Source organism: Homo sapiens, chromosome 22 (assembly GCF_000001405.40).
Source record: "Homo sapiens chromosome 22, GRCh38.p14 Primary Assembly".
Taxonomy (NCBI): Eukaryota; Metazoa; Chordata; class Mammalia; order Primates; family Hominidae; genus Homo; species Homo sapiens.
This window is the reverse complement of record NC_000022.11, coordinates 19129915-19152924: the sequence shown is the minus strand read 5'-3', so window position 1 is coordinate 19152924 and position 23010 is coordinate 19129915. Positions and strand designations below refer to the sequence as shown.

The following is a 23010-nucleotide window of genomic DNA, read 5'->3' as shown; positions in this document are numbered from 1 at the left end:
GTGAAAGAGCGAGACCCTGTCTCAAAAGTAAAAAAACAAACAAAAAAGGCCGGGCGTGTAATCCCAGCACTTTGGGAGGCCGAGGCGGGCAGATCACAAGGTCAGGAGATCGAGACCATCCTGGCTAACATGGTGAAACCCCGTCTCTAATAAAAATACAAAAAAAAAAAATAGCTGGGCATGGTGGCAGGCGCCTGTAGTCCCAGCTACTCGGGAGGCTGAGGCAGGAGAATGGCGTGAACCCGGGAGGTGGAGCTTGCAGTGAGCTGAGATCATGCCACTGCACTCCAGCCTGGACGACAGAGCGAGACTCCGTCTCAAAAAAAAAAAAAAAAAAAAAAAAGGGAGGGGGGCAGGCCAGGCAGGCACGGTGGCTCATGCCTGTAATCCCAACACTTTGGGAGGCTAAGGCAGGCGGATTGCTTGAGCTCGGCAGTTTGAGACCAGCCTAGGCAACGTGGCAAAACCCCCCCAAAACAGAAACATTAGCTGAGCATGGTGGTGCACCTGTAGTCCCAGCTACTTGGGAGGCTGAGGCAGGAGGATCACTTGAGCTCAGGATGCCAAGGCTGCAGTGAGCCATGATCACACCACTGCACTCCAGCCTGGGTGACAGAGCAAGACCCTGTCTCAAAAAATAATGCAAAATAGAAAATAAACTTTTTGAAAAAGTGCCACAGTGGGCCATTTACCAAGGTGGACTGGTAAAGAGGCAGGGCACACGCAGAGGCAAATAGGTAGAAGAGAATGAGCACTAGAGATGGACAGGTGGGCAGTGGCCCATTTGTAAAAGTGGAGAACATAGGGTAAGAAAGGGATTTTGAGAAGACCTTGAGTTCCTTTCTGGCATGGTGACTGGGAGAACTTTATTGGTAGTGGAGATGGAGATGTGGAGCAGGCTCCAGAAACAAGAGCGTGGAGCAGAGAGAGAGGCCAGGCTGGAGGTGCACTTGTGAGTCACTGTCACAAAGATGGTGTCTGGAGCTCCAAGGCTGGAATAGGTATTGAGGGTGAGAATGGGAAAGGATGAAGGAATGGCCAGGGCTAGGAGGAAGAGGGCTCAGCAAATGTTGGGCTGGCTCTCCTGACCAATGACCCTGCCTCCCCCATCATAGCAGCACTCTGATTTTGGAGGATGGTCCAGATGCAGTTCTGTGAGGGAGGTCTGCTGAGGGAGGAGGGATCCATGGCCATCCAAAGGGCCATGGGAGGAGATGAAAAGTGTGGGGCTGTGGCAGCCATTCTACCACCAAGAGGTGGGTGGAGGAGGGGTTGACAGAGCCACTCATGGAGGTGGCAGCTCATCACTGAGCCTCCAGACTACCCCTGGGAAACCTATGTGGGAGCTCTTGTGACAGAAATTAAATCAGCAGGTTCGGTCACAGTGATGTCCACAGCACTTTCACTGATAGCAGAGTGGGGATGGCAGAGTCTTGCAGAGGGGCTGGCGGCGGGAGGAGCGCAGGAATACGCATTGCCCTGGGGAGGCGGCCAGGTTCTAACCGTCTCACACCTAGTCACTACACTTTACAGATTGGGAAAGCCAAGCCCAGAGGCTGAAGACGCCTATGGAGGTCACACGGCCAGAAATTGACAACGGAGTATGAGCCAGGCCGTCTGTTTCTCTGTGCTATGAGTCCCATACTGTATTTTCAAAGGTCAAGAGGAAAGGGTCTTAAGCTGAAGTGACGGTCCCGCTGCCAGGAGCCGCTTCACTGAGGGTGAAACAATGTAGCCAAGTGCGGGTCACCTGCGCTGTGGCAGAAGGGACCGAGGACGGTGTGGCCAGAGGACTGGCCTGGGCGGAGAGCGAGGAGGGGGAGCCCACAGCTTCTGGGGGGCAGTGACAGTGCGGGGAAGGGCGAGGTGCAGTGTTGGATGTTTTCGCGGGGATTCTGGGACCAGTGGGAAAGCTGGAGGACAGGCGGCTCTGAAGCACCGAGGAGGGGCCTCGGAAGGGGCGGGGAGGTCTCCTTGACACAGGTGAGGAGACGGAGAACTGGGGGCACCCGGCAGCCCAGGCTTCCTGCCGCGCTCTCACGCCCTCCAGGGCCATGAGACCCTGGCTCCGAGGTGGCGGGCAGGTTCGGGACCCGAGCGCGGCGGGATCGTGCGGTTGCCGGTGGTGCTGGGCCCCATGGAGGCTGCGGTCCAGGAGTTTCGGGTGGGCGGCTAGGCCGAGCTTCTGCAGGCGTGCTGAGCCGCCGCAGTAGGGCCCCAGAGGGGACGAGGAATTAGGCCCAGCCGAACGAGGGGGAGCCACCAGAGGCTGGGCCGGGAGGCACCGCCGCGCTCTGGGGAGCTGCCAGGGTCGGGGCGCCCTCCGAGCGGCTGCCAGGCCCCGCGGGCGGCGGCGAGGCGGCCCTCCGCCCCTTCCCCGCAGGTCGCCCTGCCAGCTTGAGCGGCGGGCGCGGGTGGGGCAGGAGGACGCGGGGCGGGGTGGGGGGCACAGGGGGCCCTCTCTGCAGCGCCCCCGGCCCCCGCGCGCGGAGGCAGGGCCGCCGCAGTCGAGGATTAGCGCGTTCGCGGCCGGCGCTGCGGGATTAACCCGCGTGGACTGGACGCCCGGCCCGGGGATTACTGCGCGCTCCCTCCCCGACGTATATATTCCCGCGGCGGCGGCGCCCCGGCCGGGCCGGGCATGGCGGCAGCGGCTGGGGGCGCGGCGAGCCGCCGGGGTGCCGGGCGGCCCTGCCCCTTCTCCATCGAGCACATCCTCTCCAGCCTGCCCGAGCGGAGCCTCCCGGCCCGGGCCGCCTGCCCACCGCAGCCCGCCGGTCGCCAGAGCCCCGCGAAGCCAGAGGAGCCCGGGGCGCCCGAGGCTGCGCCCTGCGCCTGCTGCTGCTGCTGCGGCCCCCGCGCGGCGCCCTGCGGGCCCCCAGAGGCGGCCGCCGGGCTGGGTGAGTGGGCGCGGAGCGGGGCGCGGGGCCCGGCGGAGCCCGGGGCGCGGCGCAGTGGGTGCCGAGCTTGGCCCCAGCCCCGCGCCTCACCGCGCCCTCGCTCCGCAGGCGCTCGTCTGGCGTGGCCGCTGAGGCTGGGACCGGCGGTGCCCTTGTCTCTGGGTGCGCCAGCCGGAGGTTCCGGGGCGCTCCCGGGCGCGGTCGGCCCGGGTTCGCAGCGGCGCACGAGGCGCCACCGCACCATCTTCAGCGAAGAGCAGCTGCAGGCGCTCGAGGCGCTTTTCGTGCAGAACCAGTATCCTGACGTGAGTACGCGCGAGCGCCTGGCCGGCCGCATCCGCCTTCGCGAGGAGCGCGTGGAGGTGAGTGCCCCGCCCAGCCTTTCCCCGGAGCGCGCGGGCCGCGGCTACACTGGACTGGGGTCCTGGCGGGCGGGCGCCCTTTGCAAAGACGGCCTCGGCCCAAGCCCCGCCCTGGCGCGCCGGAGGGAGGAGGTCCCTGGACGGCGCTGGGCGTCCGGGGGTATGAGGAGCGGGTGAGAGCAGGGAGGTGCCGCGGGAAAGGAACCGGAGGGCTACTTTTCTTTTCTTTTGTTTTACACTTTCCTCTGGTGACGAAAGAGGCCCGCGTTCACGTCCAGAATTTGGGAAATTCAGAAGAGCCCGCAACCCAAGAAGGGGCGTCCTGGTCGCCGCCAGCTGGAGGCTGGGGCGGGTACTAAGGGGGTTCCCATCTCGCGTCCAGACCCACCGAGTCTGTCCGCAGCGAATAAGGGCAGGTGGCGCGCAGCCGCGGCCCGGGTGTCGGCTCTACAGCGCCGTCCGCCCACATCCCTGTTGCGAAGCTCCCCTCTCGGTCCCTGTGGGACCCTCGGGAGCCGGTGGGACGCAGGACCTGGGGCTAGGGCTGAGCATTCCCCCCATCCCCAGGTCTGGTTCAAGAACCGCCGGGCCAAATGGCGACACCAGAAGCGCGCGTCGGCTTCCGCGAGGCTCCTGCCCGGCGTCAAGAAGTCCCCGAAGGGGAGCTGCTGATGACTCTAGGAGCTGCCCCTGGGCTCGGCCACCCTTTTTGGGATCTTTGGAGTTGGCGCTGAGAGAAGACAGGTCTACCCGAAAAGGAGCTGGGAGAGTACACCGGCCGCCTCCACCCGTCTCCACAGCCCTTGCCTCCTGCAGCTCGTGCTGCCGTGGCGCTGGGGACGGGCCCCCGGTGCTTGGTGTTCCACGGCAGTGGGAGTGGCGAGTCCCTTGGGGGTGGGCTGGGGCATAGAGCAGTTTCCTCAGCTCCCTACCCCCCGAGAGACACTAACTCCACCGCAGGAGGGGAACCACCCCGTATCAACACGGGACCCAGAATCCTACGCAGTGGAGCGTCTCTCCGCACCCTGGGACATGCTGGCCACCCTCTTCTCAATGTGGACATTGACCTAACTTGACCTGGCTCGTCCTCCCCCAGCGGGAGAGGGGATGGGGTTCGTGTCTGTGCAGTCCTGGCGTTGCAGGCTTCCCAGGCCCTGGGCTGGGTCTTGGTATCTGGACCTGTAGAATAAGAAGGTCGCAGGAGCGATTCCAGGAGCCCCTCCACAGTCCCTTCACCTTCGAGCCTCGCGCTGATACTGAGAAACTAGCAACTTCAAATACCACAGAAGCCGCCCAGAGTCTCAAGTCCACCTTGGCTCCACTCCCACACCCAACAAGGAGCTGTCCCTTCTTCTTCCTTCCCAGCGAGGGGGTATTTAGGGTACAGCTGTCTTTGAGAGGAGCACAGCTCAGCGATCCTCAGTCTCTGCACCAGGGTGCTCCCCAGCAGAGGGGACTGCTCCACGGATGGTGGCCTTGGACCCCTGGGGTCCAGCCCTGGCCTCTAGGCTACTGTGAACCTGCCCATGGGTGAGGGTCCCCTGCTTCCTCCTGGGGTTTTCATGCTGTGGGCTCGGACTCCCTCACAGCAATCTGTGCCATCCTAGGGTAGGGCAAGAGGAGGTTGGACTGGGGAGACCCCGCCCCTGCTGCCTGGGAAGATGCCTGCCCTCCCCTTCTTTATCCTGGCCCATGGCAAAAGGCACAGTGGAAAGAAGCCTTAGATTCCCCAAGTAGGCCCTACAGTGGGTCCAAAGCATCTCACATCCCCACCCCCAGCTGGCTTGAGCACCTCGTTCTGTCTCCTTACAGGCCCTGCAGGGAATGGGGCCATTCTACCTGCAAGAGATGAAGTCCATCTCTAAAAGCAGGACTGCAGAAGCCAGGGCTGCAGCTCCCCAGACACCCCAAGGCTGGCCAGCTTGGATAACACCAAGCAAGCATGGTGTCCCCAGTCAGAACTGCCCTGACACTGCTGGGTGTCCCTAGCATCCCCGCCTCCACCCCTAGCATGCACACAAAGCCCTTCTCCCTGAACCCTGGTCTTGCCCTTGGGGACTGAACAGACTACCTGTGGACATGCCCGTGTCCCAGTCAGCTCCCTTGCAGCTGGGGACACTCGCATCTCACAGGCTCCAGGCCCCTTGAGTTCCTTGGTTGAATGGCCATCTGTCATTGTTTTGGGAGCCCCGATCAGAGCTTGTGGAGCGCCACCTTCCAGGGCTCAGTGGCTGTGTTGCTCTCCTGAATTTGCTTCTTGAGCTCTAGCTGCTCCTTGGCAGGCTGACCCCCCACAGCAGGCTATTAACATAGGCATCCTTCACGCTCACACCCAGGCGCTCGCTTCTCATCTTCACCCTCTTCCCGGTTTATCTTTTACCCTCAGACTCCAATTCCCATCTTTCTGCCACATTTACATCTCAAGCCAGGCACTTCCCCTGAGCCAGGTATTTATCTCCAGCTGTCCCCTTGAAGCCCACAGACTCCTTAAGGTCACCTTGTCCACAGTGAGCTCTTCTGTGCAAACCAGGCACATGAGCCAGAGAGCTAGCCGCCCACCCGAAACTGGTCCCTGGACCCCTCCCTCTCCTGATCATCCACTATACCCAGGCTGACAGGAAGTCAGTTTTACTGTTTATCAATAAATCAATAAATCCCAGAATCTCTCCAGCTCTAACTGCACCAGTCTGATGTAAGCCACCGTCACCTCTCACCTTGACCACTGCAACTGTCTCTAATCTTGTCCACCTGCACCACACTGGCTCTGCTTTTTTGTTTGTCGGTTGGTTTGAGACAAGGTCTCGCTCCATCACCCAAGCTGGAGTGTAGTGGTGCAATCATGGCTCACTATAGCCTCCAGCTCCTGGGCTCAAGCGATCCTCCCCCATCAGCCTTCTGAGTAGCTAGGACCACAGGTGGGCACCACCACACCCGACTAACTTGAAAAGTTTTTTGTAGAGATGAGGTCTTGCCATGTTGGCCAGGCTGGTCTCAAACTTCTGACCTCAAACTATCCGCCGGCCTAGGCCTTCCAAAGTGCTGGGATTATAGGCATGAGCCACTGTGCCTGGCCTGCCCCTTCAATTCAGAATGAAGACAAACCACCTCACCATACCCTACAAGGCCCTGTGCAGCCTGGCCCTGCCTCTCTGGCATCATCTCACACCTCACTGCACTCTGCATTTCCAAAGGACTTCTTTAGAACTTGCCTTGCTCCCTCCCACCACTAGGCCTTTGCACATGCTCTTTCCACCTGACTGTTGCCGGTTTGTTCGTCTTTTGAATCTGCAATCACTTTCTGCCTGGGGAAGCTTCTCTGACCTCCCGAACTAGGTCAAGATTCCCCAAGTACAAACTCTTTTCTTGCACGGACACAGCTGCAATTTTACACCTGTTTGTGTGATGATCTAACAAGTGTCTCTGTCTTCCCCATTGCACTGTCACTTCTACAAGGGCAGCAGCAGCACGCTGCACTTCAGTGAATGAAGGTATCCCTGTATGTTGCAAAAGCAAAATTGTATTAAATTGTTCCAGGGCGGAATTTATTTGTCCAACACAATTCACATCTTTCGTTTGGGAAGAAATTCCTTAAAAATGCCGAGGCAATTTTCTGGTTCACTTGAATATTAATTTTTTTTTTTCTTGACAGAGTTTCACTCTGTCACCCAGGCTGTAGTGCAGTGGCACAATCTCTGCTCACTGCAGTTTCCACCTCCTGGGTTTGAGTGATTTTCCTGCCTCAGCCTCCCAAGTAGCTGGGACTACAGGCACCTACCACCACTTTGTATTTTTTTTTTTTTTTAGTAGAGTTGGGGTTTCACCATGTTGGCCAGGCTGGTCTCAATCTCCTGACTTCAAGTGATCCACCTGCCTGGGTCTCCCAAAGTGCTGAGGTTACAGGCGTGAGCCACCGTGCCTGGTCTTGAATGAGAATGATCCCTCTTCTGGGAAGCCCACTCTGGCATTTGGGGGCCCAATAATCTTTTTTTTTTTTTTGACAGAGTTTTGCTCTTGTTACCCAGGCTGGAGTGCAATGGTGCAATCTCAGCTCACTGCAACCTCCGCCTCCTGGGTTCAAGCAATTCTCCAGCCTCAGCCTTCCGAGTAGCTGGGATTACAGGCGTCCACCACCATGCCCAGCTAATTTTTTTGTGTGTTTTTAGTAGAGATGGGGTTTCATCTTGTTGGCCAGGCTGGTCTAGAACTCCTGACCTCAGGTGATCCGCCTGTCTTGGCCTCTCAAAGTTCTGGGATTACAGAATAATCTTTAGACATTTCTTAATCGAACCACTGTCTTGTTCTTTCACCTTTTGTTAGATAACTATAAAAAAAAAAAAAAGATTGTTTTGGCCGGGTGCGGTGGCTCACGCCTGTAATCCAGAGACCAGCCTGACCAACATAGAGAAACCCTGTCTCTACTAAAAATGCAAAATTAGCCGGGCGTGGTGGCCCATGCCTGTAATCCCAGCTACTCGGGAGGCTGAGGCAGGAGAATCCCTTGAACCCGGGAACTCCGGTGAGCCGAGATCATGCCATTGCACTCCAGCCTGGGCAACAAGACCGAAACTCCGTCTCAAAAAAAAAATTGTTTTAAGGCCCTTTTCTTGCATAAAGCTTGAAACTCCTATATAAGTAAATTTCCTGGTTTGTATTTTTGTAGAATAATCTCGAAGCATACATAGTTCTTATTTGTGGGAAATTAGAATTCTAAGGCCTTTGGACGCTGCAAAGCCAGAATTTCTCGCGTGAAGAACACGCCCTATAGCATCCTCCCCGCCACCTCCACAGCACCCCCTCGTGTTCACAGCATTGACAAGCATGAATAGCGCGGGGCAGGACAAGGACTACATTTCCAATAAAGTCTAGCATTTATAGTGACGTCAGAACGGAGCGCGGGCTGGCTTTCTAGAGCCACAGCTTTTCCATTGGCCAACTATTGGAGGCGCCTGCGCAAATGGTGCAGTCCCGCCCCCTCCACCCTGTGACGCGCCTGCTGGGCCCGAGCTTTTTCCTGGGATAGCGATGGAGACGCCGGGCGCATCAGCGTCGTCCTTGTTGCTTCCCGCCGCGTCCAGGCCCCCGAGGAAGCGCGAGGCGGGAGAGGCTGGGGCTGCGACGAGCAAGCAGCGGGTCCTGGACGAGGAAGAGTATATCGAGGTACGACCTCGGTGCGGACGCCGGCGACTTCTGGGCCCATCCTCTGCTTCAAGCTCCTCTCAGGTTCCCTCTCTCGGGTGTTGACACTCCGTCTCCTCGTGGAAGTGGAGGAGCCGGGTGTGGACGGTCCCACGAGTCAAGTAAACAGGGCAGAGGAAGACGTCTGTGGTGGAAGAGGCTGTAGTAGTGTTGTCAGGGAAAAGAGAGAGCGGCTCTCTTTGTATGGGACGGGGGTCAGGGAAAGAAGATTTTCTGTTAAAGTGTGAGTAGGAGTTTGACAAACTGGAAGGATGGTGGCAAAGAGGGCTTTCTAAAGAGCGGTGGCAGCAAGTGTGAATGCTGGGGTTCCTGGAAAGAGACCGCAGTTGTGACAGCATCTCGAGTGAGTGGACCTGCGTCGCCCCACCACACGCACACAGAAGGAGGAGCTGAAACGGGGATTGGCGGAAGTCAGTTTGGTTTTAGACCTGTTTAATTCGGGACACCTTTTGGGATATGTAGATGGATGGCTTTAACGGACGGTTGGGTGCCCAGATATGCAGCTCGGGAGCAAGGTCTGGCTGGAGGTGCAGACTTGGGAATCTCAACTTGTGGTAGTGACTGGCTGAAGTTACTCAGGAAAAAGGTTTATTTTTATTTTATTTTTTGAGACGGAGTCTCGCTCGTCGTCCAGGCTGGAGTGCAGTGGCGCGATCTCGGCTTACTGTAACCAACCTCTGCCTCCTGGGTTCAAGCCATTCTCCTGCCTCAGCCTGCCGAGTAGCTGTGACTACAGGTGCCCGCCACCACGCCCGGCTAATTTTTGTATTTTTAGTAGTGGTGGGGTTTCACCATGTTGGCCAGGCTGGTCTCGAACTCCTGACCTCAGGTGATCCGCCCGCCTTGGCCTCTCAAAGTGCTGGGATTACAGGCGTGAGCTACCATGCCCCGCCAGGAGAAAGGTTTAGATTGGAAATAGAAAGTCATGTGTGGAATGAAAGTGACAACACCCACATTGGTCTGGCTTGTGGGGAGCCAGCAATGGAGAATGAGAATGACCAGTTAGCAAGGGCGAGAGAGAAGGGTTTCACGGACTTCAGAAGAGTGTTTAGTAATGTTAGAGGTTGCAGCATGGCTACCATATGGGATGCTCAACCCCACTAGAAAGTGCCCTCAAGCTCCCTCAATCCAGCCCCAGTCATTGGGGAAGTAGAATTTGAAGGAGGTTCAGCAAGTTCCTTAGCATGTACAGCAGTGGACCTGTGAGGCAGGAGCACCCAGACTGCAGCTCCGACTTTCTTTTTTCTTTTTTTTTTTTTTTTTTGAGACGGTCTCGCTCTGTCGCCCAGGCTGGAGTGCAGGGGTGTGATCTTGGCTCACTGCAACCTCCGCCTCCCGAGTTTAAGCGATTCTTCTGCTTCAGCCTCCCACGTAGCTGGAATTACAGGTGCCTGCCACCACGCCCGGCTAATTTTTGTATTTCTAGTAGAGACTGGGTTTCACCATGTTGGCCAGGCTGGTCTTGAACTTCTGACCTCATGATCCACCTCCCTTGGCCTCCCAAAGTGTTGGGATTACAGGTGTGAGCCACCGCGCCTGGCCTCTGACTTTCATTCTGATCTCTCCTTGCAGGGCCTCCAGACGGTCATCCAAAGGGATTTCTTTCCTGATGTGGAGAAGCTCCAGGCACAGAAGGAGTACCTGGAAGCCGAGGAGAATGGAGACTTGGAACGGATGCGCCAGATTGCCATCAAGTTTGGCTCTGCCTTGGGCAAGATGTCCCGGGAGCCCCCGCCACCCTGTATGAGGACCCTGTGGGTGGCGGAGAGGGGAAAGCCTGCTGAACTGTCGCTTCAGGCTCACTCTAATTCTTATCCCCCTCTCTTCCCCTAGATGTGACTCCAGCCACATTTGAAACCCCTGAGGTGCATGCAGGCACTGGAGTGGTGGGCAACAAGCCCAGGCCCCGCGGCCGAGGCCTGGAGGATGGTGAGTGAGGGTGCCCTCTTTAAGTCACATGGTCAGGATTGCCTGGGAATCTTAGCCTGTGAGGCCCTGAGGGGGTGGTCCAGAGGGCTGCAGGCCACATCTTGTTCCTGAGGGGTCTTGCGTAAATAGCAGCCTGTGAAGTCAAAGGACATTGGTCTAGGTGGTAGAACATCTGGGTCCAGCTCCCACACATGGCTCGCCTCTGTGAAATGGGACTCTCACCAGCTCTTGCTGGCTTTTCTGCTGTGTTCCAGCCCTGCCCTGTGGGCTTCATGGATGTTGGAAGGCCCCTTTTGTTACTATCCTGAAGATGCCTCAGGGCCTCTCCATTTGTTTCCTTCATGTTGGTCACTTCCCAGATAACTGCATGGCTCACTGTGTTTCTTCCTGTAGATCTCTGCATAGGTGTTACCTGTTCAGAGAAACTTTTCTTGACCTGCCAGTGTGAAGTCACAACACCACTGGTGCTCTGTGGCTTCCAGCCTGGCTTTGGTTTTTCATCACAAGACATTTTATTTTATTTAATTTCATTTTATTTTTAATTTTTTGACACAGAGTCTCGCTCTGTCACCCAGGCTGGAGTAAAATGGTGTGATCCCGGCTCACTGCAACCTCCACCTCCCAGGTTCAAGCAATTCTCCCTGCCTTAGCCTCCCAAATAGCTGGGATTACAGGCGCCTGCCACCACTCCTGGCTAATTTTTGTATTTTGTAGTAGAGACGAGGTTTTGCCATGTTGTCCCGGCTAGTCTTGAACTCCTGACCTCAGGTGATCTGTCTGCCTCGGCCCCCCAAAGTGCTGGTATTACAGGTGTGAGCCACCGCGCCTGGCCAAGACATAACGTTTTAAAGGCATTTCTGTTTATGGTCTCTTTCCCTAATTGGCATCCCTTGCACAAGAGCAGAAGCTTTGTTTTGCTTTCATCTGTATGCTCCGTGTTGGGAACAGCACATGTGGTGTTGTGGGCCTTGCACAGATACACATGGAACAGATGAAAGAGTTGTCATCTTCAGCATGTTTGCTGGGACACACAGCTCTATATGGTAACATCGTGACTTGATGGGGGAGTCGGTTTAGGAAAGGGCACTCCGAGTCCTGTTGAATGCAAGTGTTCTGCACGCCATGGGACTTCTGCGTTGTCAGGCCCTCTTTTCATCAGTAGTAGAATGTCAGTGCATGTATAGACAAACGAGACACTCTTTCTTATCAGTTTGTAGACTCCACTGTGCTGGAGTAGCACAGATGTGTTGTGTGTTTGCACAAACATGCAAACATGATACTTTTTGCTTTACAATCCAGCTTTTTCGGCCATTAACACAGTCCTTGTTGTCCTTGAAGCTTGATTATCTGTTGAAATGTAGCTTGTGCATCACAGGGCAATTTGTAGATTTTTTTCTTCTCCTTTTTTTTTTTTTTCCTATAGAGATGAGGTTTCATTATGTTGCCCAGGCTGGTTTTAAACTTCTGAGCTCAAGTGATCCTCCCACCTTGGCCTCCCGAAGTGCTAGGATTACAAGTGTGAGCCATCATGCCTAGCCAGTTTGCAGATTTTCAATACCTGTACACCTACATGCCAGTAAATATAGGAATCCTTTTCAGAACCTAAGTGGTAGGAACCATCATCATGTTTACAGGTGAGGAAACTGAGGCTCAGAAAGGCAGTCACTTCTGCAGGTCTCAGAGATGGTCAGGGTTTCACTTCTTATCTCTCTGAGATGAATAGAGTTTCTGACCCCTGTCCTCATCCCGTGGGTCTTGAGCTTGTAGCCACTGTGCCTTGTGCATAGCCTCACGTGTAGCAGGTGGTCAGGACTGTCACTAGACTTGAAGGCAGAGCTCTCCAGGTGGCCCCACCGAAGTTTGCACCACCACACGCAGCACCAGGGCACCACCTCAGTGGGAGTACCACTTTCCATGGTGGCAGGGTTGGTCGGAGGGGGGGGTGTTTGGGGTTGTGGCTTAGCACCTGTGAGGCCCCATCCAGAGGACTAAGTCATATGAGATCCCTGGAATTGGGGCTCGCTCTCAGGTCAGGATGATTAGGCGATGACCACCCACCTGTAGTACAGGTACCAGGAAGAGAAGAGTGGGTAAGGTAAGGAAATCCTAGGGAGTGAGGGAGAGCCCCAGGGATTTGGAGGCCTGGCACCCACAGGCCTGGCACCACTTTGGTGGGGGAGGAGCCTGCCTGTGATCACGAGCTCTTGCTCTAACACCTGTATTGCTTTCTCCAGTCTGAATCAGACCACGTAATTCCCTTGGCATCCAGCACATGAGCAGAGCTGGCCCTGAATCTGTAGGGTACCACCTGAGGGCTCTCTGGGCAGTCAGGGTGGGTGGATTCTGCCCCCGTGGGGAGTCCTTGGCAGTGTGGGCTTTCATGGGCAGAAGCCAGGACCAGGGGAGAGGATTCCAGCCCTGCATGTTGGGGGCTATGATTCCTGGGCCTGGGTGTCCTCCTCTTTCCTGACTGCAAAGGGTGCTGTGTTCCTCCTCCCGCAACCCCTAAGCAGGAGAGGCTGGAGAGGAGGAGGAGAAGGAGCCGCTGCCCAGCCTAGATGTCTTCCTGAGCCGCTACACGAGTGAGGACAATGCCTCCTTCCAGGAGATCATGGAGGTGGCCAAGGAGAGAAGCCGGGCACGCCACGCTTGGCTCTACCAGGCTGAGGAAGAGTTTGAGAAGGTGTCTCTGGGGTCTGGGGTGTCACATAGGCGTAGGCACCCTCTGTGGTGGTTGGGGAGCCCCAGGGCCATGGGTACAATGCCCAGGGGCATCTCTGACCATCACTTTTCCCCATGTGATTGCAGAGGCAGAAAGATAATCTCGAACTCCCGTCAGCAGAGCACCAGGCCATCGAGAGCAGCCAGGCCAGTGTGGAGACCTGGAAGTACAAGGCCAAGAATTCCCTCATGTACTATCCAGAGGGTAAGTGGCGGGCCTCGCAGCCAAATGGGGAGGTGTTGGGTAGAGCTGTGTGTGTCTGGCTGTGTTTGGAGCAGCCTTCCAGGTGTGTATGGCCGTGCCCCCTTGCAGTTTGGGCTTCTGATGGGTACTGGTCTGTCTAAGGGTGGACAGGTCTGTGTGAGGTCAGCAGTGAGTGAGACCCTCTCCAGCGGCACTGGGGCCTGCGTTCTGCTCAATGCTTTTGTTCATCTGGGAGTGACTTGGCCGAGAAGCGAGCTCCTCATGCTCCTTAGGCTGCTGCCCTTCTGACACCTGCTGCTACCTTTGCTTCGTCTGCCAGGTGTCCCTGACGAGGAGCAGCTGTTTAAGAAGCCCCGGCAGGTGGTACATAAGAACACGCGCTTCCTTAGGGACCCCTTCAGCCAAGCCCTGAGCAGGTGCCAGCTCCAGCAGGCAGCCGCCCTCAATGCCCAGGTGAGCAGGCGGGTCAGCAGGGCCGCATGGGCCAGGTTGGACAGGGCTGCCTGGGGGCAGGCATGATCTCTCCCATCTCTTTGAGCTTGGCAGAGCTCAGTGAGTGGAACCATCTGGGGCCCTGTGCGGCAGGATCCTGAGTCTTTCCTTGGCCCCAGTGGGCTTCCATTGAACACTGCCTTGGTCACACACGTTCTGTAGGTCCAGATCTGTGCCAGCTCCCTTGATGGCAGGGGCAGGAGAGAAAAGGGACTGCTGGGAGTGAGCCCAGGCTGGCAGCTGCACGCCCACACACCGGGCAGGGAAGCCAGAGAGCCGCAGAGGGAGCCCAGCCCCAGGGGGTGGCTGGGGTGGGACAGGCCCTGGGTTGGCAGAGAGCAGAGGCTTTCTGAGTCTGGGAGCAAGACGAGTAGATACTCTCTGATGGTGACTGTGGCAGTCACAGGGTTGAAGTGGGGAAGGCAGGAAGAGACTAGAGCATAAGCATTGCCTGTCATCAGCATTGCCTGTCATCAGCATTGCCCCCTGCAGGGGCCTGGCGTCAGCATCCTCTGGAGTTGCTGGGATAGGCGCAGCTCGAGTGGAGGCCCTGGCACCTCCCTGGATGGGAGGAGGGGGCTTTCCTTGCTTGGGTACCCACTTTGACAGGCCCTCAAGGTCTTTTGGGGGGTTGGGGCAGGGGCCCTCCCTCTCTTTCTCCAAGAAGGCTGCCAACCCCAGAGCCCCAGCCTTGCCCTGAGGAGAGGAAGTGTTTCCAGCATGTTCCCACGTGTTTGCCCACCGGCCAGCTGTCGAGCGTGGGCTGCGGTCCCCCTGATGCCAGCCTCTCTGCTTGTTCCAGCACAAACAGGGCAAGGTGGGCCCCGATGGCAAGGAGCTGATCCCCCAGGAGTCCCCTCGAGTGGGTGGATTTGGATTTGTTGCCACTCCTTCCCCTGCCCCTGGTGAGAAAAGTGCCCACTGGCAAGTGGGTCTACTGCTGGGACTCCCTGGGGGAGGTGGGCTTCTCAGTCGGCCCTGGCCACTCCTGGCCTCTACCTGGCCTGCCCCACACCTTGTGTAACTCAGGGACCTGGTCTCCTGTCTGTACAAGGCCCTAGAGGCCAGGTGTCCAGGCTGCTTGGGGCCGTGGGTGGGCTGGACTCTCAGGCAGACCTGGCCTGAGACATCCTGGGATGACGTGTCCTGTCCTGGTCCTTACTGTGATGTCAGTGGGTGGGGGTGTGTGCACAGTGCTTATGAGTCTAAGTCTACCTAGCACTGCAGGGAGGGAGGCCCAGCACCTCAGTGGAGGTGAAACTCAGGTGGTCTTGTGGCATGCGTGGGTGTCCCTCTGCACTCTGGCCTCTGTGCTCTTGGGTGCTGGTGCTGTGTCACACGCCAGGGCATGTGAAGGCACCACAGGTTTGCCTGGGGTTCTAGGAGGTTTGGGAGCCCTGGAAGGCCTGAGTGTCTCCTCCTGCGTGGCTGGGGGAGACCTCCCAGAGGCTTGTAGGCTAAGCACATGGCTGTAGGGCCTTGAGCCTGCCTCGGGCCTGCTGGGAGCTTGGCATTTCCCTTTCGGAGGATGGAGGTGCCAGGGTTCCAGAGTCCTGGGGAAGGAGAGAGGGCTAGCTGCCTGCCTTCGTATTAGCTGGGATGCACATTGGGTGAACAAGCTGTGACTGGAGGGGAGGGTGGTGGGGAGTCCTCTGGCCTGAGGTGGTTTTGGGCTCTTTGTCTGCAGGTGTGAACGAGTCCCCGATGATGACCTGGGGGGAGGTTGAGAACACACCCTTGAGAGTTGAAGGGTCGGAAACGCCCTACGTGGACAGGACACCCGGCCCAGCTTTTAAGGTGGGTTGTGGTGATGGGGGAACTGTGTGCGACCGGGGTGGACACCTCTGGAGCCCTGAGTGCCTGTGGCTCAGGACTGAGCACTGGGATCGGCCCCCAGCTGCTGACGGGCAGAGTGCTGGCTTTTCTGAATGCCAGGGTGCTGAAGGCAGGTGTGGGTGGGTGGACCTGTCACAGAGGGATTTGGGGGTGTAAGGGCTGAGACACCAAGGCAGGGAGTGGCTTGGGCCCTCTGGATCCTGGAGGCCGGGTGCTGTTCATGAATGAGGCAGGATGGTCACAGACACGTGAGGAGCTCTGCAGGCCTGAGGGCCATAGGACGAGGCTGTGTGCTTGTAGAGAAGGCCCCTGGTTACAGAACACGATTGGGACACGCTGGATTACACGGCTCAAGCCTGGTGTTGTAGGAGTGGTCAGGGTGGAGTGTGTGAGGCCCGGCACAGACCAGGGGAGGCTCTTCGTGGGCTGGGTCAGATACAACAGGCCTCCCCATACCACTGCGGGCCTTTCCCCAGAATACTTAGTACAGGTAACCCATGTCCAGACAAAACATGGGGAGAGGTTCTGGTTACCTTGGTTCTAAATTGTCTGGGACACAAGGATAACCAAGGCAAACGTGCGAGAGGGATAATGAAGAGGATGCCGTGCTGTCCAATGTGAGAGCGCAAGGCAAGGGCTGAGGTGCTTCTGAGGTATGCCTGCCACTGCTTCCCGAGTCTCCAGGCCAACAGTAAACAGATAAATTCTGAAACAAACCATGATCCAAGTCAGAATTTGGGGCCCGATAAAGATGGCAACTCAGATTGCACTGAATAGCAGAGTATTTAGAAATGAAGGGAGCTGGGTCCTCAGGATGTGTAGCAGCATACATTGTGGAAAGGTGAAAAGGTTACATGTAAAAACAATAACCATAAAACAACCAGAAGAAAATAGTGGCGAATATTTAGTTTGATTTTTGGGTTCAAGTGATTCTCCTGCCTCAACCTCCCAAGTAACTGGGACTAGAAAATAGTGGCGAATATTTAGTTTGATTTTTGGGTTCAAGTGATTCTCCTGCCTCAACCTCCCAAGTAACTGGGACTACAGGCGCGTGCCACCACGCCCGGCTTATTTTTGTATTTTTAGTAGAGATGGGGTTTCACCATGTTGGCCAGACTGGTCTCGAACTCCTTGGCCAGACTGGTTTCGAACTCCTGACCTCGTGATCCACCCACCTCAGCCTCCCAAAGTGCTGGGATTACAGGCGTGAGCCACTGTGCCTCGCCTCTTTTTTTTTTTTTTTTTTTTTTTTAACAGATAGGGTTTCACTCTGTTGCCCAGGCTGGAGAACAGTGGTGCAATCATAGCTGATTGTAACATTGAGCTCCTGGGCTCAAATGACCTTCCAGCCTCAGCCTCCTGTGTAGCTGGGACTAACAGCATACACCACCATGCCCAGCTAATTTTGTGTGTGTGTGTGTAGAAATGAGGTCTTGTCATTTTGCTCAGGCTGGTCTCCAATGCCTGAGCTCAAGTGATCCTCCCACCTTGGCCTCCCAAAGTGCTGAGGTTCCAGGTGTGAGCCACCACTCCCAGCCTGTAGTCTAATCTTAAGTTAGGAGGGACTTTCTAAACATAAAAGCAAAGGAAGAAATCACAAATGAAAATAACAAATACAGCAGAAAATGTTATAAATGAAACAAATGTAAATGAGTGAAAAAACATGTGCACAGCGTAGCACAGTTGACTTGACACAAGGTCTTGGCAAGGGTCTTCTGAGTAACAGCAGCAGAAAAGGAAAATGAGCCCCTTGAGAGCAAAATAGGCCACAGGCACACGGGGAAGCGCCCGAAATACAGAGCGCCGATAAAGACAGAGATGTTCACTCTGATAATCAGGGAAACACTAAAACAGACTGCTTTTTCCTGAGAGATTGTCAGAGGTCATGGTTTTGGGAGGAACACGAAGACAGGTGAGGAGTGCTGCGCCTTGGGCAGGTCAGGTGGGGTTTGGGGCTTTCCAGGGGCTTTTAGTGGGAGGTGATGGGTTGTGGGGGTTTTGTAGGCAACAAAGAGAGGCTGGCACCCACCACAGTGGCTTTCTGTGTGAGGGGCTGCCTGGCGTGTGGCAGGCCTGGCGCAGCTACCCACACACCTGCTACCTTGTAGATCCTGGAGCCAGGCCGCAGGGAGCGGCTGGGTCTGAAGATGGCCAACGAGGCCGCTGCCAAGAACCGGGCCAAGAAGCAGGAAGCCTTGCGGAGAGTGACGGAGAATCTGGCCAGGTGAGGGGCCGCCTGGCTGGTGGGGAAGTGCGAGGGTGGCTCTGGCCTGCTCCTGTTCGGCCCCTGCCCTGACCGTGTGGAGGCATGGCCCACGCGGCAGAGTCCAGGGCAGGTCCGCGGGGTTCTGCAGTGGGTACTGTGGCAGCTCCTCTATCCAGAGCATGGCCGCACATGGACAGGATGAGAGGCCCCCTCCATCTTCTCTTTCCTCCACGTCCTCTTTGACCCGTCCCTAAGAGGCATCTTTAGGCGTGTGGTCCTGCTGGGAGCTTTCATCAGCCCTGTGGAGAGAGTCATCGTTCCCCTTGGAGAGGGGTGGGGACTCCAACTCTCAGAGGCCTGGGGGTGCACCCCAGCCCCCACAGCCAAGGGCGGTGCTGCTGTTTGACCTCAGGTTTGACCTGAGCGCTGCTGTTTGACCTCAGGGATCCCCCGCATTTGCTGCCATGCTGGCAGTACCATCCTCCTCAGCTCAGAGTGACTGTGTCTCTGCCCAGGCTCTTCCTGGGAGCCAAGGGAGGCCCTGCTGCCGGCAGCTCTCAGCCCACCTAACCCTGCCTCTCTCACCCATTCCTCCACCCCAGCCTCACCCCCAAAGGCCTGAGCCCAGCCATGTCGCCAGCCCTACAGCGCCTTGTGAGCAGGACGGCCAGCAAGTACACAGACCGGGCCCTGCGGGCCAGCTACACACCATCCCCAGCACGCTCCACCCACCTCAAGACCCCGGCCAGTGGGCTGCAGACCCCCACAAGCACACCGGCGCCTGGCTCTGCCACACGCACCCCTCTCACACAGGACCCGGCCTCCATCACGGACAACCTGCTGCAGCTCCCTGCCCGGCGCAAAGCTTCGGACTTCTTTTAGAGCCAGGCCTGGGCTGGGCTCATAGACGCTTCACAGAGCCTGCAGGGCAGCTGTACACCCAGCAGAGGACTCCAGCCTTCTCGGGGCCCAGGCCTGGGCCAGAAGCTGTTGACCATACCAGGAGTCACTGGAGAAAGGGGCTGTGCTGGGGCCAGACTGGCACAAGGCACTCGTGCCCACACCACACCCCAGGGCCTTGCCAAGCTGTTTGCTGTTTAATTGGCCCCTTGAACTGTCATTAAAGAACACCTAGGTACAGTCTGGGGGGTTGCCTCTCCATCTTGCTCCCCACACGAGCCCTAGCCTTGCCCTGGGGCCTGCATCACGTCTCAGGACTGCGGGGCTTGAAGCGAGGGGCCCCCCAGGTGAGGAAGCTGCAGGTGGGGCGGCTGTGGGAGCACCGGGTGACTGGCGTTGCTTTCTGCGGCACTCGGAACCTGTGTTCTGAGTTGAGCTCACATCCTGCAGTGCTTTCTGCTTCTCTGGGGGGATATGAAGGAGAAACGGAGCCCTTGGAAGTTGTACCCTTAGGTTCCCCTGCGGTTCTGGGCCCAGGTCTGCAGCCTCCACTCTGGGCTTGCCGGCTGTGAGGTGCGCTGGTTATAGGACTGTGTGGGGGCTGCATATCAGGTGATCTCAGCTATCACCTTCTCCCAGCACCTGGCTTCCAGCTCATGGGGTGGGACTATCCCACTCACCCCTCTGCTATAGGCACTGCCCATCTTATGCTGCTGGCCCTGGCCTCACCTGGTCACTTCCACCAACAGGAGCTCCCAGATAACAGTGGGTTGCTGGACAGATCAGGCTGGGACTCTTAAGGGGTGGGGGACGTGGGGCCTTCAGTGCTTTATCCCCTAGGAAAGGGTGCACGTTATCCCAAGGGAGCCCCCAGGAAGTGGGGAGGGAGGGGGGAGGAGCATGTCTAGGTGCTGACCACCTGGAGCACTTGGCCAGCAAGTGGGCCGCATGCTTTGGGAGCAATGGGTGACCCAGCAGGAAGCACAAAAGACCGGCCAGTGTGCCATCATCAAGGGCTGCTGAGCAGCTTGAAGAGCCACTGGGTGGGGAGGGCACACGGGGAGGTCTCAGCTGGGGCTGCCCCTGGAGGACAGGGCAGGGAACTTGAGGGCTGAGGACAGAAATCTCACATGACTCCAGGAAATAGAGGAAGAGGAGGATGCTGAGCGAGGGATTGTGAGGGAGTGGGGGTAGGTCAGAGGGGGCTGAACTGCAGGAAGCCAGGGGGAGTCGTGGACCACTGGAGCTGGCCAGCCCCAGGGCATTGGGGACAAGGCCAGGTCAGAGGGAGACAGTGTGGGCCTGGTGGGTGGACCCTGGCAGAGGCCCTCTTGTCCCCCACAAGGCCAGGCCACACTGTGATTCTGCCTGTACCTGAGCATCTGTCCTGTGCTCCTAGGCCGGAGACCACTGTGTGTCAGGTGGGGCGGTTGGCTGAGTCCCAGAGAAAAACACTCCTCACTGGGCACTCTTGATGCTTGCACACACCCTGTGGTTTATTTGGTGGTCAGTAAGGAACGTCTTTGCTGCTAAGTGGAAGAAAGCTAATGGAACGTAATCAAAATAGTGGTTTAATTGACGAATTTTACTTGCACCTGTGCCTTCTTCAGATCCTACCTGCCTACTTAGTTTACGTGAAGGCCGACTGCACCATGCCCCCCAACCCCGACCCCCACCACACACAACGGGGCCATTGTCATGCTAGGTGCTTGCTTTCCCCACCTCAGCTCCGGAGATGTGATGGTCTTTGGCCCTGGAGGTCTCGGCCAGCCTGTCCTCCATCCTGTTCTCGTTCTCGGGCACCACCAGCAGCCGGTGCTGGGTTTTGGCTCCAAGCTTGTGGTCGGGCCGGTGGTCGGGCCTCAAGCCTGTCTTGGTGTCCAGTTTGCACTCAGCGCGGTACTTGCCCTCCCCCTCCCTCTTGAAGGAGGCAGAAGACGTGGCTTTGGGCTTGGGGGGCTGCAGCCACGAGTGGCTGAGGATCTCATCGATGTGGAGCCGCTGGCTGACGTCGGGCTGCAGCATGCGGTAGATGAGGTCCTTGCACTCGCAGGTCAGGTTCTTGGAGCGCGGGAAGTCCACACGGTGCTCCTTCTGGATACGCAGCATCTTCCTGATGTCGGAGTCGTCATAGGGCATGGAGCCGCAGACCATGATGTACAGGATCACGCCCAGGCTCCAGATGTCATACACCTTGGGCTGGTAGGGGATGCTCTGCAGCACCTCGGGGGCTGCATATGCTGCCGACCCGCAGAAGGTCTTGCTGAGGATGATGCGCCCATTGCTGTCCCGCAGGCAGCGCTTGGAGAAGCCAAAGTCAGACAGCTTGATGTTGAAGTCCTTGTCGAGGAGAAGGTTCTCGCACTTGAGGTCCCGGTGGACGATGTCCAGGTCGTGGCAGTACTTGACGGCGGAGGAGAGCTGTCGGAACATCTTGCGTGCCACGTCCTCATGCAGGGCTCCCTGGCACTTGATGAACTCGAGGAGGTCGCCCTGGACGCCAAGCTCCATGATGATGTAGATCCGTCCGTCAGAGGTCTCAAAGATCTCGTAAGTCTTGATGATGGAGCCGTGGTTGACAGTTGCCAGGATGTCCATCTCCCGAGGAAGGAATCTCTCCACAAAGTCAGTAGGTGTTTTCTTGCGGTCGATGATCTTGACAGCCACATTGAACTTGAGGCGCTCAGAGTAGGCAGATTTGACTTTTGCGTAGGAACCCTTGCCAAGATTGATGCCTACGATGTAACCCTTCTTCCTTAGGACTGTGGCATCGTCCATGGTGCCAGGAGCGACTGGCGCCGCTGCCGTCTACATCCCCCCGTCATGTGGGCCAGCAGGCATTGTCCTCATTTACACTACCGGAGGCGTCTGGCTGGGCTGCCCTGGGCTGGGCTTCGACTCAGGGGTGGAACACTCAGCATTGTCTCCGGGTGACTTCAGCCAATGAACTCATAAAGCCAAGGAGTGGGGGCGGGGACTGGGCTGAGGGAGAACAGGGTCTCTGGAACCGTGGAAGCCAGGCTGGTCTGGCAGGAGCACCCACTCCCCGCCCGCTGGAAGGAAGCCTGTCCCCAGGACAGGACTCTGGTGGCCCTGCTGCTGCTGCATTGGTTTCCCTGTCACAAGTCAAGCTGGAGGGGAGGCGGCCCACGTCCAGCCTGTTTGCATCACCTGGCTGTGGGGACTGACCCTGCATTGGTCTTTGTCCCACTAGGGTGGGTTTCCTGCAGCTTCTTTGGCTATGAAGAAAAGCACCCCCAGGGCTGTGTCCTTGGTGTGGTAGGACAGTTGTCCCTGACAGTCACCCAGACAGGCCTGCATAGCACCCCAGTTACACAGACAGATTTCCACAGCACTGCCTTACCATTGAGCACATAGTTAAATCTAGGGAAATCAGTGCCCAGACATCAAAGCTAGAAATGAAACATGGTCAGCAGGAGCCTTGCATGGGCTTCTCTTTTGCTGGAGCAAGCCAAAATAATAGGAACGGTTTTACATTCCTAGTGCCAGGACCCATCTCGGGTCGACAAAATCTGAAGACAAGTTAAGGGAACAGGCAGCTGTTTGAATAGATCAATTGGATAGTCTAAGGCAGCTCTCTGGACCAAGCTGTAAAGGAGATACAATCGAAATAATCACTCCGGTACCACAGTAGACAGGCCTTGAAGGCACTGGGCCCCTTTTAATCGGACTTAGCAAGCATTTTTTTTGCCTCTGACCTTCTCCTTGGAACAAAATTAGTTACCAGTAGACTTAGGTGATTGCTGTACTGCATGTAGGCACATAACCCCAACCTATATAAACAGTAAGAAAATTGTAGCACTTTGAGTTGGTCTGCTGGAATTATCTCCAGCCTTCTCCCTGTATCCAGTTACAGTGATAAACTCCCTTCTTTCCTAGTTTGTCTGCTTCTCGTTATTGGGCCTCAAGAAAATGCAGCTGGACCTGGCTTGGTTCTGGGAACAGTGGTACCTGGGAGGGACTGCCCTGGACCAGTCAGGCTGGCAGTGGTGCCAAGCCTGGTAGACGAAAGCAGCTCTGTGTTTGGGAGCAGAGGCGGCAGGCCCCTCAGGGTAGAGAGCCGGGCAGGTGAGTCGCTGCTGCTCCAGCGAGCAAGGGCCTGTGTATGGGTGGGTCGGGGCTGCAGTGCATGCCAGCTGGGTGCCCAGGGTCCAGGGCAGGTGGCTGCATGTCTGAGGGGTGGGGCAGGGCCTCCCTTGGGTAGAGGCGGCAGGAAGGCACCCAGGCAGCAGAGAGCCTGGG

The 23010-nt window shown here is 57.0% G+C and overlaps 3 protein-coding genes and 1 long non-coding RNA gene across 10 annotated transcripts, besides 3 other annotated features; 2 read left to right on the top strand and 2 right to left on the bottom strand.

Moving 5' to 3' along the window:
• The first annotated feature begins 2632 nt into the window (after window positions 1–2632).
• On the top strand, window positions 2633–5932 carry GSC2 (goosecoid homeobox 2). The gene is made up of 3 exons (NM_005315.2): window positions 2633–2900; window positions 3009–3262; window positions 3830–5932. Exons 1-3 carry the CDS (start codon window positions 2642–2644, stop codon window positions 3932–3934), a joined length of 618 nt encoding a protein of 205 aa, NP_005306.1. The 5' UTR covers window positions 2633–2641; the 3' UTR covers window positions 3935–5932.
• Window positions 3182–3681: an enhancer, noted in NCBI's record as "H3K4me1 hESC enhancer chr22:19136757-19137256 (GRCh37/hg19 assembly coordinates)". NCBI's record gives its function as "activates a minimal SCP1, AML or CMV promoter by ChIP-STARR-seq in naive H9 embryonic stem cells {active_cell/tissue: H9 hESC(naive)}" and the evidence as "EXISTENCE:reporter gene assay evidence [ECO:0000049][PMID:30033119]".
• ESS2 (ess-2 spliceosome associated protein) lies at window positions 8274–22646 on the top strand. Of its 7 annotated transcripts, none has more exons than NR_134304.2 (10): window positions 8274–8419; window positions 10031–10199; window positions 10292–10387; window positions 12898–13070; window positions 13196–13313; window positions 13633–13766; window positions 14446–14622; window positions 15493–15602; window positions 17750–17865; window positions 18450–22646. NR_134304.2 is itself a non-coding variant. In NM_022719.3 (10 exons), exons 1-10 carry the CDS (start codon window positions 8285–8287, stop codon window positions 18727–18729), a joined length of 1431 nt encoding a protein of 476 aa, NP_073210.1. In that variant the 5' UTR covers window positions 8274–8284; the 3' UTR covers window positions 18730–22646. The 7 variants fall into 7 exon arrangements, 6 of the variants coding, with proteins under 6 accessions (NP_073210.1, XP_005261339.1, XP_047297480.1 ...); NM_022719.3 differs by having other exon boundaries at window positions 12901–13070; window positions 14608–14710; XM_005261282.5 differs by having other exon boundaries at window positions 14608–14710.
• Window positions 8699–9205: an enhancer, noted in NCBI's record as "H3K4me1 hESC enhancer chr22:19131233-19131739 (GRCh37/hg19 assembly coordinates)". NCBI's record gives its function as "activates a minimal SCP1, AML or CMV promoter by ChIP-STARR-seq in naive H9 embryonic stem cells {active_cell/tissue: H9 hESC(naive)}" and the evidence as "EXISTENCE:reporter gene assay evidence [ECO:0000049][PMID:30033119]".
• Window positions 15979–16716, bottom strand: LOC112268297 (uncharacterized). Its single transcript, XR_002958753.1, has 2 exons — window positions 16666–16716; window positions 15979–16586 (listed from the first exon to the last, which is right to left on the bottom strand). It is a non-coding gene; the product is annotated as an uncharacterized LOC112268297 (long non-coding RNA).
• Window positions 17131–17300: an enhancer, noted in NCBI's record as "experimental_62558 CRE fragment used in MPRA reporter constructs". NCBI's record gives its function as "activates a minimal promoter by MPRAs in K562 erythroleukemia cells, with activity observed for the non-introgressed 22:19123223 variant allele {active_cell/tissue: K562}" and the evidence as "EXISTENCE:reporter gene assay evidence [ECO:0000049][PMID:34662402]".
• Window positions 20303–21617, bottom strand: TSSK2 (testis specific serine kinase 2). Its single transcript, NM_053006.5, has one exon. The coding sequence runs from the start codon at window positions 21523–21525 to the stop codon at window positions 20449–20451; it is 1077 nt and encodes a 358-aa protein (NP_443732.3). The 5' UTR covers window positions 21526–21617; the 3' UTR covers window positions 20303–20448.

What these genes read in the sequence shown, in the direction of transcription:
- TSSK2 (NM_053006.5), bottom strand. Translation starts at nt 21,525, where the DNA reads ATGGACGATGCCACAGTCCTAAGGAAGAAGGGTTACATCGTAGGCATC.
- ESS2 (XM_005261282.5), top strand. Translation starts at nt 8,285, where the DNA reads ATGGAGACGCCGGGCGCATCAGCGTCGTCCTTGTTGCTTCCCGCCGCG. An exon ending in CCGGGAGCCCCCGCCACCCT is followed by an intron (nt 10,200 to 10,291) that starts GTATGAGGACCC and finishes CTCTTCCCCTAG; the next exon opens with ATGTGACTCCAGCCACATTT. An exon ending in CGGCCGAGGCCTGGAGGATG is followed by an intron (nt 10,388 to 12,897) that starts GTGAGTGAGGGT and finishes GCAACCCCTAAG; the next exon opens with CAGGAGAGGCTGGAGAGGAG.
- GSC2 (NM_005315.2), top strand. Translation starts at nt 2,642, where the DNA reads ATGGCGGCAGCGGCTGGGGGCGCGGCGAGCCGCCGGGGTGCCGGGCGG. An exon ending in AGAGGCGGCCGCCGGGCTGG is followed by an intron (nt 2,901 to 3,008) that starts GTGAGTGGGCGC and finishes CTCGCTCCGCAG; the next exon opens with GCGCTCGTCTGGCGTGGCCG. An exon ending in TTCGCGAGGAGCGCGTGGAG is followed by an intron (nt 3,263 to 3,829) that starts GTGAGTGCCCCG and finishes CCCCATCCCCAG; the next exon opens with GTCTGGTTCAAGAACCGCCG.